General features: G+C 45.3%; 1 protein-coding gene across 10 annotated transcripts in view; it reads left to right on the top strand.

The window, feature by feature from the left end:
• Nucleotides 1–14,404, top strand: part of HERC2 (HECT and RLD domain containing E3 ubiquitin protein ligase 2) — a 211,140-nt gene that overhangs the window by 43,136 nt on the left and 153,600 nt on the right. For 8 of the 10 annotated variants that reach the window (XM_006720726.4, NM_004667.6, XM_005268276.6 and 5 more), the window contains 9 exons: nucleotides 4,039–4,139; nucleotides 4,597–4,753; nucleotides 6,040–6,150; nucleotides 6,658–6,829; nucleotides 8,176–8,349; nucleotides 9,608–9,796; nucleotides 10,428–10,579; nucleotides 13,070–13,227; nucleotides 13,313–13,426. In XM_006720726.4, coding sequence (XP_006720789.1) covers nucleotides 4,039–4,139; nucleotides 4,597–4,753; nucleotides 6,040–6,150; nucleotides 6,658–6,829; nucleotides 8,176–8,349; nucleotides 9,608–9,796; nucleotides 10,428–10,579; nucleotides 13,070–13,227; nucleotides 13,313–13,426 — 1,328 coding nt within the window. Of the gene's footprint in view, nucleotides 1–4,036; nucleotides 4,140–4,596; nucleotides 4,754–6,039; nucleotides 6,151–6,657; nucleotides 6,830–8,175; nucleotides 8,350–9,607; nucleotides 9,797–10,427; nucleotides 10,580–13,069; nucleotides 13,228–13,312; nucleotides 13,427–14,404 lie in introns of all 10 variants that reach the window. The other 2 variants (XM_047433207.1, XM_006720727.4) reach the window with 2 other exon arrangements.

Below are 14,404 nucleotides of genomic sequence, written 5' to 3'. Positions count from 1 at the left end.
GGCAACAAGAATGAAATTCTGTCTCAAAAAGAAGCAAAAAAAAGAGATGCTTTTGGGCATATGAGTTTTAATTTGTTGATGCCTGTTAATGTATCACAGATTTCCACTATTTGCTAACAGCCACTAGAATGTTTAAGGCTTATGTAAATTTGTACTTTTCCAAAATGAAGCTATCAGACTTTTGTCCTCAGAAGGTTAAACTACAAGACTGCCAGATGAAACTTATATTTTGTGTTAGGAGTGCTGGCTTTATTTGACTGTGATAGTGACTTTGACTCCCTGGAGAGAGCACATAGAAGGTACGGGAGGCAGAAAGAAACAAGAGCAAAACCCTGATCGTCTTGCTCCCCAGAGACAGGAGCGGTACTTGTAGCTTGTTTCCTTGTTTTCTTATGTTTTAATTTTTGTGTTTGTTTTCCTTTTTTGTTTCCTTATGTTTAAATATAGTTGAAATCACATTACAGTTGGCTCTCTGTGTCTGTGGGTTTCACATCCACAGATTCAACCAACTATGGATCGAAAATATTGGAAGAAAAGCAATAAAAAACAACACAACAATAAAAAAATACAAAGAAAAAACAATACAATATAACATCTAATTCCAGAGCATTTACCTTGTATTGGGTGTTATAGTAATCTAGAGATGATTTTTTTTTGTTTGTTTGTTTTGACATGGGGGTCTCACTGTTGCCCAGGGCAGTGGGGCCATCATGGCTTCCTGCAGCTTTGACCTCCTGGGCTCAAGTGATTCTCCCACCTCAGCCTCCCAAGTAGCTGGGACTGCAGGCGTGTGCCACAATGCCTAGCTAATTTTTGTATTTTTTGTAGAGCTGAGGTCTCACTGTGTTGCCCAGGCTGGCCTCGAGTGATCTGCCTGCCTTGGCCTCCCAAAGTGCTGGGATTACAAGCATGAGCCACCATACCTGGCCAATTTTTTTTTTTTTTTAATTTGTATAGATTGGGTTTTGCCATGTTGCCCGGGCTGGTCTTGAACCCCTGGGCTCAAGCAACCCTCTCGCCTTGACCTCCCAAAGGGTTGGGATTATAGGTGTGAGCCACTGTGCCTGGCTGAGATGATTTAAATTATACTGGAGGATGTGCACAGGTTATATGCAAATACTACACCATTTTATATCAGGGACTTGAGCATCCTAGGGTTTTGGTATGGAGCCAGGGTGGGGCAAGCCTGGTACCAATCCCCTACAGATACCAAGGGACGACTGTACATGTTGTATTTTTGAAAATAGTTTTAGGGTAAATTAAACCAAGAGACAGATGAGATTCCTACCCATTTGGTAATAGGAGTGCCATGGTTCTTTCTTCCTTCCTAACCGGCTGTGATGGTCATGAATCAGTGTTATGTACGGGTCGGCGGTAGGTGCTAAGATTGTCCAAGCACTGTTGTGTGTTTGTCGAATCAAACTGAATTCCCTCAGCTGCAGAAATGGCTGAGAGCCCAGCTGATTTTTCTCTGCTGTTTCCTTTGTGATGACTTAGGGTTGGTGAATTAATTGGAATGTATCTTTCATTAAGTGGAAGAATTCCTAAAATTTTAAAAAAGCCCCTTTTTTTTTTTTTTTAGATAATTGTGGATTCACATACAGTTGTAAGAACCAGTATAGAGATTCCTTGTACTGTTCGTCCCGTTGCCCTCAATGGCAGTTGCAAACTGTGACACAGTCATCACAACGAGGGTGTTAATTTTGATAGCCTGCCTATCTTATTCAGATTTTCCCAGTTTTACATGCTCTCAATTGTGTGTGTATTTCTTTGCAATTTTTTCAGGTGTGGATTTTCTGAGACCACCACTGCAATTGGTACATGGACAAGGGCCCTTTATACCCACATTCACGTCTTCTCTCCCCACCTTAACTGCTGGCAACCACTCATCTGTTCTGTGTGCCTATTATGTGATTTTTTGACATTGGCTTTTAAATTTTTTATTATTGTTATTATTATAATTTTTGGAGACAGGGTCTCACCCTGATGCCCACAAGCTGGAGTGCAGTGATATAATCATAGCTCACTGCAGCCTCAAACTCCTGGACTCAAGCAGTCACCTCATTTCAGCTTCCTGAGTAGCTGGGACTACAGATGCATGACACCACACCCAGCTCATTTTGTATTTGTAGAGACTGGGGTCTTGTTGTGTTTCCCAGGCTTGTCTGGAACTCCTGGCCTCAAGCAATATTGACTTTTTTCACTCAGCACAATCCCCTTAACATTTTCCCAAAGGGGTCATTGCATGTATCATTATTTTATTATGGCTGAGTAGTTTTTTTTTGTTTTTGTTTTTGTTTTTTTTTTGAGACAGAGTCTCGCTTTGTCGCCCAGGCCAGGCTGGAATGCAGTGGTGCGATCTTGGCTTACTGCAACCTCTGCCTCCCAGGTTCAAGCAATTCTGCCTCAGCCTCCCATATAGCTGGGACTATAGGCATGCACCACCACACCCGGCTAATTTTTGTATTTTTAGTAGAGATGGGGTTTTGCCATGTTGGCCAAGCTGGTCTCAAACTCCTGACCTAAAGTGACTGGCCCACCTCCTCTGACCACACTTGGCCCATGTGCTTTCTCTTGTAAGGACTGTGTGTCCTGTTACATGTCTGTGTCTTGTCATGTTCGTATTTCTCATTTAGGAGCAAAGATTTCCATCTTCCAGGTACCCAGTGCCCTTCTCAGAGGTTCTTGTGTTTCCTCTCTGAGCTCCCGGTGCATTATTCAGGCACTTGTGGATAAGCGTGTACTGTTGCCCCTGGCCAGCCGTGTTCTTCATTGCCATTTTTATTACATATTGTATCTTGGGGAGATCCTTCTATAACAACCCTCTTTTTTTTTTTTTTTTTTTTTTTTTGTTTTTTGAGATGGAGTCTTGCTCTGCCTCCCAGGCTGGAGTGCAGAGGTGCGATCTTGGCTCACTGCAACCTTTGTCTCCCAGGTTTAAGTGATTGTCCTGCCTCAGCCTCCGAGTAGCTGGGACTACAGGCACCCGTCACCACACCTGGCTAATTTTTGTATTTTTAGTGGAGACAGGGTTTCGTCATATTGGCCAGGCTGGTCTTGAACTCTGTATCACCTGTTTTTATAGGATTTCCCCTGATCATGAAAGCAAATTTTAGTAAATTTGGAGAATATAGTTTATAGTAGCAATACTGTAATATTAGAAACATGATATAGTATAAAGTATAACATACAATTACTTGCTGTGCATGATTGAGTTGAGATTATATATGCATTTTTATTTTATTTTATTTTATTTTTTTTGAGATGGAGTCTTGCTCTGTCTCGCAGGCTGGAGTGCAGTGGCGCGATCTTGGCTCACTGCAAGCTGCACCCCCCAGGTTCACACCATTCTCCTGCCTCAGCCTCCCCTATATATGCATTTTTGTATTCTAGCCTTTTCTCTCTTGTACAGGATGATTTTTATGGTGTACCATATGCATAACCTTTTAGAACATGCAGAATGAAACTGTGACTTGTGAAATTAACATACACAAGTAGTGAAAAGCTTAAATAGACACAGGAGGGTGATGAGCACCACCGTCAGAAGAGGGCAATGCCCCATAGGGTGGGTCAAGCACGCAGGGCTTCACCCGCGGCCAGGAGCAGACCTCGAGTGGAGGACGCCGGAGCTGGGGCGAGCCAGGCTACCCTCTGCGGCTCTGCTGCTCTTCTTCCAGCTCTTCTCCGGCCTGGTCTCCCATGTGGGGTTTATTCTCCCTCCGTTTATGTATTTATCTCCTTATCGTCTGCTTCCTCCCAGTAGAATCTCACTTTGGGAGGTCATTTCTTGAGCATTTTCCCAAGACATTTAAAATTCCTTATACATTTCTTTGATTCTTAAAGAGAAAACTTTTCCTTTACAAAAGACATTTGATGAAAGTTGTTAAACAACAAAACGAAAAATCCACTTGTGATCCTGTCACTTGAAGAAAACCATTGGTCGGATTTTGGTACACACCCTTTCATAGTATTGATTTTATGTAGTATCTGCACCCTCTGCTGCTGACTGGTTGTATGTTCCGTGTGTGTCGTCTGCAGTTCCCGGCCTGCGGGCAAAGGTGTGGAGGGGCTCGCCAGAGTGGGATCCCGAGCGGCGCTGTCTTTTGCCTTTGCCTTCCTGCGCAGGGCCTGGCGATCAGGTACGGTCCCTGGTGTGGCGCGTTGTTCTGCTTCCCTAATACATCAACAGACTGGGTTTCGAACTCGGTTCAGCCACCATGTGCCCTTTGGCTGATCCCATGTGCTCTCTGTGCCTCAGTTTCCTTGCTTGTGAGATGAGAGGCTGCAGAGGCTGTTTGGCTTTTCACATCTGTGCTTTAAAGAAAAAAAAGAGAGTGTATGCACCCCCACCCCCACGTCAACCACTACCATGGAACACCTGAGTACAGACTTAATTCTAGAAGGACAAGAAGTTAGTGTATTGCTCATGTGACAGCCGTGAAACACAGAATTGACTGGAGCAGCTGCGCTAGATTTTGGCCTGTTGAGTGAGGGATTGGAAAGGTGACAGTGGCGTCATCTCTCGCTGAGGGGTGGGAAGCCCAGCGGGAGAGTGAGGGGAGTGGGGGGGCTCCTCTGACGCGTGTGTGCGCCCAGGCGAGGATGCGGACCTCTGCAGTGAGCTGTTGCAGGAGTCCCTGGACGCCCTGCGAGCACTTCCCGAGGCCTCGCTCTTTGACGAGAGCACCGTGTCCTCTGTGTGGCTGGAGGTGGTGGAGAGAGCGACCAGGTTCCTCAGGTCCGTCGTGACGGGGTGAGTTCTTTCCTTTCTTGCCTTCTGCACGCAGACAGCTGGCCTGCTTGAGGCTGGTTCTTACCACCCTTGCTTTAGAGCTAAGAAGCCTAGTAGGTTGGTTTTTCACCTGTTTTCAGCGGGCTGTCAGTGCTGTGATTCCGGGTCTGGGTTCTCAGCTTTTCAGGCGATTTGATTTATGATACTCTGACTAGACCCAGGAAGCTGTGATACTAAATGAGACGGATGAGAGAGAATGCTTAGAGATTTGGCCATCAGTCATTCGTAGAGGTTTGAGTGCTTACACTGTGTGTCTCTCTGTGATGATTAGGAGCTGCTGTTCTGAGTGCGGAGTGGTGCTTGGTTTGAAGTCTTATAGATAATGTGGGAGTAAACAACTACTCAAGATCAAATTCTTTAGTCCTGTAGCTGATCTTTTTAGTGTAAAAAATTTTGAATAGGAATCATTTGTGTGTAAGAAAAACATGAACTCTGGTCTTGGGTGCTATGCATTTTTGTTAAGGTTTTTAAATTTAAAGAAAATATAAAATTCAACAGGAAGGACAGATGCAGAGGGAAAGTGAGGCCACTCCTCACTCTCCTTGCAGAGGTCAGCACTGTGCCTTCTTGCAGCCAGCAGGAGGCCTTTGGCGTTTGCGTCCCCGGCTCTGAGTCCACTTCCTGAGCCGGCTGGTGAAGGCATCACCACAGAGTTTTAACGCTGGAGGCCCTGAGCATAGGCTTGGAGTTGATTTCACAAATTCAGCTGTAATATTGATACCATAAGATCCTTTCTCTGCAGTCTTAGGATAGAATTTTAGAAAATTTATTATTGAGTAACATAGAAAAGTTAAAAATATTTCATTGATCAGAGATAGAAATTAGTGTTGACATTTTGCCTCCAGATTCTAAGGTGGTTTTAGAAATTGGTTCTTTAATTCTGTAGATAAATGCTGATACTGGTATAGTCTTATACGTCATTGAAACTGGAAAAGATAGCTAGATATTCTTCTACTTATGTTTTTGATAATGAGATAAATTATTTTATGCTTCATATACATGGAGTATGTCATCTACTGTAATATAGTATCTGAGTGAACACTTTAAATAAAATATAGTTGTGTAAGCTAATTGTACACTTATAATCTCTGAATAAATTTGAGTAGCAAGTATCAGAAACTTGATCCTAAATATTAAAAATACATCCTTCCTTTGGAGGGAGCGTGTAGTAAATGTGTTAGTGTGATTGTAAGCATGCTGTCTTTCTGGAGGTTGCTTTGTTCCTGCATCCACTGCTTTCATTTCAGGGATGTTCACGGAACGCCAGCCACCAAAGGGCCAGGAAGCATCCCCCTGCAGGACCAGCACTTGGCCCTGGCCATCCTGCTGGAGCTGGCTGTGCAGAGAGGCACGCTGAGGTGAGGGCTGCCGCAGACGGGAACGCTTTGGGGAAGCGCCTGTGTATGGAAATACCTGTTGCATTGTGTGTGTTTCACTGAATCGTTTGTGACCGCAGCAGATGTGGTACTCTGTACGGAGAACCATGTCCCAGGGCTCTCTCTCTTTACCTTTTCTTCACTTCCTGTTTTATGCTCAGTGTTCTAGCCTGGGAACTGTTCTTTTTTTTTTTCTTTCAGTTTTCTTCATTTATTTATTTTTATTCCATGAATTTAAGATCCTAGAACTTTCATGTAAATGTGCTCTTTGAGCTTCTTAACTGGTCTTTCTTATGAGCAGAAGGCGATGTCTTGTGCTAAAGTCTTGGTGTCAATTCAGTGATTTAATTACCACGGCTTTAGTTTAGTTTCCTTTCAAATCCCAAGTATTTGTTCACTTCTATCCAGCTATTTGCTTTTATTTTTGATCAACTGTGAAGAAAAGAAGTTAATCTGTTTTTACTAGAATAAATATCTTTTCTCCTTTAGCCAAATGTTGTCTGCCATCCTGTTGTTGCTTCAGCTGTGGGACAGCGGGGCACAGGAGACTGACAATGAGCGTTCCGCCCAGGGCACCAGCGCCCCACTTTTGCCCTTGCTGCAAAGGTTCCAGAGCATCATTTGCAGGAAGGATGCACCCCACTCCGAGGGCGACATGCACGTGAGTGTCATGATGGAACTTTGTGTTTAGGTGGCACTCGAGTCTAGTTACTTTTAAAGCAAGACTAGCATGCATGTCAACGGCAGTGTTTTTCTCTGGCGTGTGTGTGTTTGGTGGTAATAGCAGCGAGTCAGATGAGACAGGTGTGGGAGGTCACTTGTTTGTGGAGAAGACTCGGATCAGTGAGCACTGACTTCCTTGTCAGCACAAAACCAAGCTTGAAACATTCACTTTTAAATAAATACCAGAAAAGAACAACGAAAATAGCGGCCTGCTTTGTTGGTCCTTCCTATGTACTGGGCTCTGTGCAGGGCACGTCACCTGAGCTGTCACTCTGTTTGGTACCAGCTCCCGCCTTAACAGGTGTGGACAACAAGCTGAGGGAGGAGCAGGCGTGCGGGGCCCTGGGCCTAAACCTCCAGGACTGCTGGTCTTTACATGTCAAGTACAAGTTGGATTTTGCCAGTCTTTTTGGGAAAGTCTTAGGCATTCCAATATCGTGCTTTGGTTTAATTTTTCTATTATTGGCAGTCTTTTTTTTTTCCTTAGATGGAGTCTTGCTCTGTCGCCCAGGCTGGAGTGCAGTGGCGTGATCTCGGCTCACTGCAAGCTGGGCCTCCTGGGTTCACACCATTGTCCTGCCTCAGCCTCCCGAGTAGCTGGGACTACAGGCGCCCACCACCAAGCCCAGCTAATATATTTGTATTTTTAGTAAAGATGGGGTTTCACCATGTTACCCAGGATGGTCTCGATCTCTCGACCTTGTGATCCGCCTGCGCCTGCCTGGCCCTCCCAAAGTGCTGGGATTACAGGCGTGAGCCACCATGCCCAGCCTATTATTTGGCAGTCTTTAAACTAATGATAATAGGGCTCTTCTGCCTTTAGAAGAATTAGAACTATGATTTAATTTGCAAATGAAAGTAGGTGTTCTCCAGAGTGGGCAACGTTTAGATTAAAATAAAGGTTTTGGTTTTAGATTTCAAGGCCAGCTTGAGATGCTGTGCTGGGTTCCCACAGAGGTGGTTCTGCCTTTCTCCAGGGGTCCTAGGCCTGTAGGGTGGTTTGGTCATGTTAGTAATCTGTGTGGATCCATCTTACCTGTGGTATCATAAATGTATACATGCGCAGTCAATGTTGTGTATGCGTGTACAGCAAATTTAGACATTTACACAGTCAGTTTATATGCTGCATAAATATATAGATGTATAGTATAACTGTATCATTGACATTGTCATTTGATGGGTCAAATGAGTCAATACCAAAATATAAAGCGTGGGTAAAGGTTAATTGTGTTAACTTTAATTTTTCCCACCATTTCTGAATTTTTGTTTACTTTTCCTTTCTAGCTTTTGTCTGGCCCTCTGAGCCCCAATGAGAGTTTCCTGAGGTACCTCACCCTTCCACAAGACAACGAGCTTGCCATTGATCTGCGACAAACGGCGGTTGTTGTCATGGCCCATTTAGACCGTCTGGCTACGCCCTGTATGCCTCCGCTGTGTAGCTCTCCGACATCTCATAAGGTGTGTGTGCAAGAACCGTGTTCTCCATGTGTTTTGTAGCTAGTACCACTTGTAGGTTCTCATCCTGGGCCCGTGTGGAGACTTGCTTTTTCTGGTATTGGTAGGGGGAGCTGGCCTGTGGTTTTTAAACGCGTTTGCAGTTGAAGGTGTTATCCGTGTTGAGAGTGAGTGATGAGCAAGCTGAGGCGCACAGGCCTGGCGACCCAACCTGGGGGCCCGGGTTCCAGGTTCAGGTGGCACAGCCCCAGAGAGCTCCCCTTTATCCACAGCCCCAGGCCCTCCCACCTTCTGCAGGGGGTTCCACAGCCTTCTTCATACTCTGAACGCGGACTGTCTTAGTATGTAATGCTGGTGATAGTAGTGACAGTATAATTATATGTTATATATTATATATTATATATCTATATTACATGTCTGTCTGTCTGTCTATCTATCTATCTATCTATCTATAAATAAATAAAAAGAGTGGGTTCTATCTATCTATCTATCTATAAATAAATAAAAAGAGTGGGTTCTCCAGCCTGGCCAACTTGGAGAAACCCTGTCTCAACTTAAAAATACAAAAATTAGCTGGGCATGGTGGCATATGCCTGTAATCCCAGCTACTTGGGAGGCTGAGGCAGGAGAATCACTTGAACCCGGGAGGCGGAGGTTGCAGTGAGCCAAGATCGCGCCATTGCACTGCAGCCTGGGCAACAAGCGTGAAACCCCATCTCAACAAACAACAACAACAAAAACAAACACAAATAGTGCTGCAAGGCCTGACCTGGAACATGTGTCCTCCATGTGTGCACGTGTGTGTGCCCGTGCACATGCACAGGTGGGGATGCACCTAGTGTGGGCTGGTTGTCACCAGATTGCTCCCGTACAAGTTGATTTCTCTCACCACCAACATGGATGCTGGTCTCCCAGCCTTGTGTGTGGGCTTTTGGGATTTTGCCTGCTAAAGCACAAAATGGTGACCCTGATATAGTTTGAGCATTTAAAAATATATTAGTATTTAAGGGCCATTTATAGTACTTTTTAATGGGCTCTGTTAAAATGAAATGCAATGGAAATGGAAAAATAACCTGTTCAGTTGCTTCATCTTACCTGTTAAATGAGGTAATACAGGCTGGTATGAGCTATTTTGATGTTTTGAATCAGCATATTTTCTCTTTATTTGCTTTGTTTTTATTTTGTAGTAGCTCAGTGTTACTCCCAGCCTTTTTTTATTGTTGTTGTTGTTAAAGGAAATGTTTACTTTCTTATCTTACAGGGATCATTGCAAGAGGTCATAGGTTGGGGGTTAATAGGATGGAAATACTATGCCAATGTGATTGGTCCAATCCAGTGCGAAGGCCTGGCCAACCTGGGAGTCACACAGATTGCCTGTGCAGAGAAGCGTTTCCTGATTCTGTCACGCAATGGCCGCGTGTACACACAGGCCTATAATAGTGACACGCTGGTGAGTGTTCTGGGCACTGTGCCTGCAGTGTTCCCTTGCGGGGCAGGGTCTGTCCTACAGATGCACAAGCTCTGGTGTTTCTTTAAGGCGTTTGATTTCTGAAGATTGACAAAGTTCTGTTTATTGTATATTATGTTTAATGATCTCAGTTGTAATATTGTCAAGATTTGGGTTGTGAAGATTAGGAAGTCCTTACAGTGAAACTCATTGCTAATCGTGAGATTCCCGTTTGTAAACTCATTTCCACGTGTAAACTCATTTGACGTTGGGGCCAGACAGGTGACAGGTGAGGGAGTTGGGCCTCGTGGGGATAGTGGCAAATTGGGACGTGGCATGTTTTCATTAAAGCGAGGTGTTCCTCCCTGTCGGCTGCGTGTCTCTGTGGCATGGGGCTAGCCTGCCCTGCCCCTGCATCGGCTCTGGTCTTGCTGCAGAGCACTTGGAGGCTGCCCGCTGTTCTGTTGCTGCTGGGTGGGAAGGGCTGGAGAGCCGGCCCCGTAGTTCCCAGAGACTTATGCCCCACTTGGAGTTACAGCAGGCTTTGCTTGGGGATACATGATAACGGAGAGCTGAGCTGGTTTCATTTTCCTTGGACTGATGACTACTTTTCTTCGTATTTTTCCTTCTTTAGGCCCCACAGCTGGTCCAAGGCCTTGCCTCCAGAAACATTGTAAAAATTGCTGCCCATTCTGATGGTCACCACTACCTAGCCTTGGCTGCTACTGGAGAGGTGTACTCCTGGGGCTGTGGGGACGGCGGACGGCTGGGCCATGGGGACACTGTGTATGTATCGCTTATTCCTGTAGGGGACACACTCTCCTTTTATGTTGCCATATCCTAAACAGGATGGAGCGCAGAAGTGTGTCCAGGTGTTTTCCAATTGCCCTGACATGTAGCGCTGGGATGGAGCAGGACACTACGATATGCCTCCTCCTTGGTGATGGCTTAGGAGCTCTGCCCATGTGTGGAGGGCAACGGGAATTGGCCTTTCTGTTCTTCTTGACCCCGTGCAGCCTTGGCCAGCCTTCTATCTACTCAAACTGCATCCCCACTGTGGAGTTTGCCAAAACAAATCCCACACCACTGTTCCTTCATTCACAAACAGTTCACCCTGTCTCTCATAGATAAGGTTGTCACCCTTTTCTTGAACCATATATTATTTTTACAGGAACAAAAGTCAGCAGTTTCTTCCTAATATTATCCTACTCAGTGGAACCTTTTATTGTGAAAGAACAAATGAAACAGAAAGTTGTTATAAATGCCAGGTTGTAAAAATTGGGAGGTCTGCCAGCCCCATGGAGTGATGGGAACCCTCTTGTACTTTGCTGTTGTGCATGGAACTTTGGCATTAGGTTTAAATGAGGGATGTATGTACACACCAACCCAGCAAGCCCATTTCTTGTGGGCTGGAGCCCTGAGCAGGGAGAGGGCAGTGCAGAGCTTGAAATGAGTGAAGTCATGACTGCACTTGTGTCCCTTGAGAGGAGCCTGGGGGGCATGGCCCATGCACACCACAGGGTGGAGTTGAGGGCATCATTGCCGACAGCATCCGCTGGGAAGATCCCAAACTGGGAGAAAAGCAGAGTAATGCGTATCGTGTGGTACATGTATGCCAAGCTCAGAACAGCCCAACCCTGACAGTGTTGTAAGGGATTCAGACAAATCTAAGACGAGTGAAAAAGAAAAGATTGATCTCCATGGAATTTATAGCTGTTACTCTCACACTGGATTGTAAAGGCTGGGATTGACATGGGGTACACGGGACTTGAAAGGCATCGAGGTACAGGACAGGGTGGTATGTCTGCTTACTTCCTTTATGGTATTTATAACTGACTTTCTATAAAATATTTCATAGTAAAACAATTCTCAGTGGAGAGTAAGTGCTGGGATGAGTAACTTACGCCTTATTCTAGGACTTCAAGGAAGGAAGAGAGATGAGTGCAGATGGCAGAAGCTGGAGATAACCTTTTGGGGAAATTGAAACTTAAGCTGAATAAGGGATAGTTTGTACTGGAGTAGAGTCATTGGGCTGTCCCTGTGAGCACCTGTGCCACTGTGTGTATTTTGCAAACTAGTAGGTCACAAAGTGAGTAAAGGAGAGGCCTGGCTTCTGTAGATTTTCAAGAAAATGTCATCCATCATAGGAACATATTCTGGATCCTAAGAATAGGGTATTTTGCTAACTTTGAAATTTCTTCAACTAGTAAGACTTCTCTACCCTAATCCCCACTGCCTCATACTTTTCATTTGTAAAGTATAGATTGCAGAGTGCTGGCTTCATTCCATCCACATTCATTTAACAAATACATATAAATGTCGGTCAGCTTTATGAGGCTTCCATACAACCAGATGACTGAGTTTCAGATGTAGAGTTGGATGGGTTTTGACAAGTGCACGCAGTTGGGTCACCACCATCAAGACATGGGGCGCTCCCATCGCTTCCAGGGCCCTCTTTGTACCCTTTGAGTTGATGCCCCCTTCCTACCTCCAGTTCCTGACAACCTCTGATCTGCCCTCTGTTGTTATTATTTTGTCTTTTCCATAATTTAATATAACAAAGCCATACAGTGTATGGTATTTTGTTTCTGGCATCTTTGACTTAGCAGATGTCTTGAGATCCAGCCATGTTGGGTTGGGTGTATGGGTAATTCATTCCTTCTGTTGCAGATGGACCATGGTTTTGGGACATTGTGAATAAAGCTGCAGTGGACTTTACAAGTCTCTTTTTTTTTGAGATGGAGTTTTGTTCTTGTTACCCAAGGTGGAGTGCAATGGGGCGATCTCACCTCACTGCAACCTCCTCCTCCCAGGTTCAAGCGATTCTCCTGCCTCAGCCTCCCAAGTAGCTGGGATTACAGACACCCTCCACTATGCCCACCTAATTTTGTATTTTTAGTAGAGACGGGATTTCACCATGTTAGCCAGGCTGGTCTCGAACTCGTGACCTCAGGTGATCTGCCCACCTCGGCCTCCCAAAGTGGTGGGATTACAGGTGTGAGCCACCGCGCCTAGCCTATTGTACAATTCTTTAACAAACACTATTTTTATATTTCTACTGGGTACCATGTTTGGCATCGGGTTCCAACTGAACAAAAAGTCATGGAGGTGTTAGGTGTTGGAATTCTCTCTTCCTTCTTTCACAAGGTACCTGGAAGGTGAAACTGGCCTGATGCTATGCTGGTCTAAATTTGGATAGTGAATTTCCTTTGTTAACATTAATAAGAAATAACACCAAGAAGAAGGGCATTCATGTTTGTTCCCTTTCTCCCCAAGGCCTTTGGAGGAGCCTAAGGTGATCTCCGCCTTCTCTGGAAAGCAGGCCGGGAAGCACGTGGTGCACATCGCTTGCGGGAGCACTTACAGTGCGGCCATCACTGCCGAGGGGGAGCTGTACACCTGGGGCCGCGGGAACTACGGCCGGCTGGGCCATGGTACGTCTGCTCTGCATGAGTGGGAGCATGCAGCAGGAGGTGGCCTCTTACAGGACTTAGTAACCGCCGTCCTATCTGTTTGAAGGCTCCAGTGAGGACGAGGCCATTCCGATGCTGGTAGCCGGGCTTAAAGGACTGAAGGTCATCGATGTGGCGTGTGGGAGTGGGGATGCTCAAACCCTGGCTGTCACTGAGAACGGTACGTAGAGCTCTCGCCACCCTGGACAGGCCCACGAGGACACGCATGGCAGCTTCCCTGGAGGAAGTGAGATGAGTACAGTGGGCCTCACGAGGCCACCCACCCTGTCGCCCAGTGGGTGTGGGGCTCAGTGGCATTGGGGAAGAGGCCCGGGTGGTTACTGGGCTTGTTTGCCTGAGGCCTCTCAGCTGGTTAGCAGCTGCCGCCGTTCCTGTGTGGGCATTTTATTTTTTAAGAATGAGAGTTGAAATGGGATGATTGACACTCTGAATTGTCTCTGGTTAGTATTATTACATTTCTTAACGTTCGGCCACTCTTGATTCCCTGTGGTAATTCCTGCTAAGTCTTTCTGTGTTCTGTAGTCTGATGCTACGGTATCTGCTTGCTTTGAATTTTGGTTTTATGTTTGTGTTCCTAAGTGAGATCATCCTTTTTTCAAGGGTACCTGATGAGGTTTGATGGTTAAAGTCATGTTAATATTTTAGAAATGACTCGTCTTTCAGTATTGTGGTGGTCTGTCCTTGGCATCTTGTGTGTCTCTGGCGTTGTGGAGTCTTTCCGTTATAATCAGCAGGGGTACCTGTCAGCTTGCTTTCTCTCCTGCAGAAGTTGAATGGCAGATTGGTAATTGAGTGACTTTTGGGCATTTCTTAGGTGAAAGATGAAAAATCATTTTAGATACTTCCCTGTATGTCGGTCCTGCTGCCATTGACGGGACAGACCTTGTCAGAGCCGTGTTGTTTCTGCTTTTGTGAGTCCTAGAGCAAAGATGGCCTCATCTGAAAGGCTCCTGCTGTCAAGGAGCTTTCAGTTTGACATCTCGTCATTTTAAAATATCTATTATTGAGTGAGTTGCAGACCTTAAAATATTTCCCGGTTAAAAGTTTTGTAAGGTCTAAGCTGTGTTAGGAGATTAGCCTTGCATTCTTTATGTGTAGTTGCTACTTTAGTTAAAGTTTGCGATGATATGTTGAGTAA

This window comes from Homo sapiens, chromosome 15 (assembly GCF_000001405.40).
Source record: "Homo sapiens chromosome 15, GRCh38.p14 Primary Assembly".
In the NCBI taxonomy this organism is placed as follows: Eukaryota; Metazoa; Chordata; class Mammalia; order Primates; family Hominidae; genus Homo; species Homo sapiens.
Note: the sequence above shows the minus strand (reverse complement) of the source record. Positions and strands in the feature narration are given on the sequence as shown.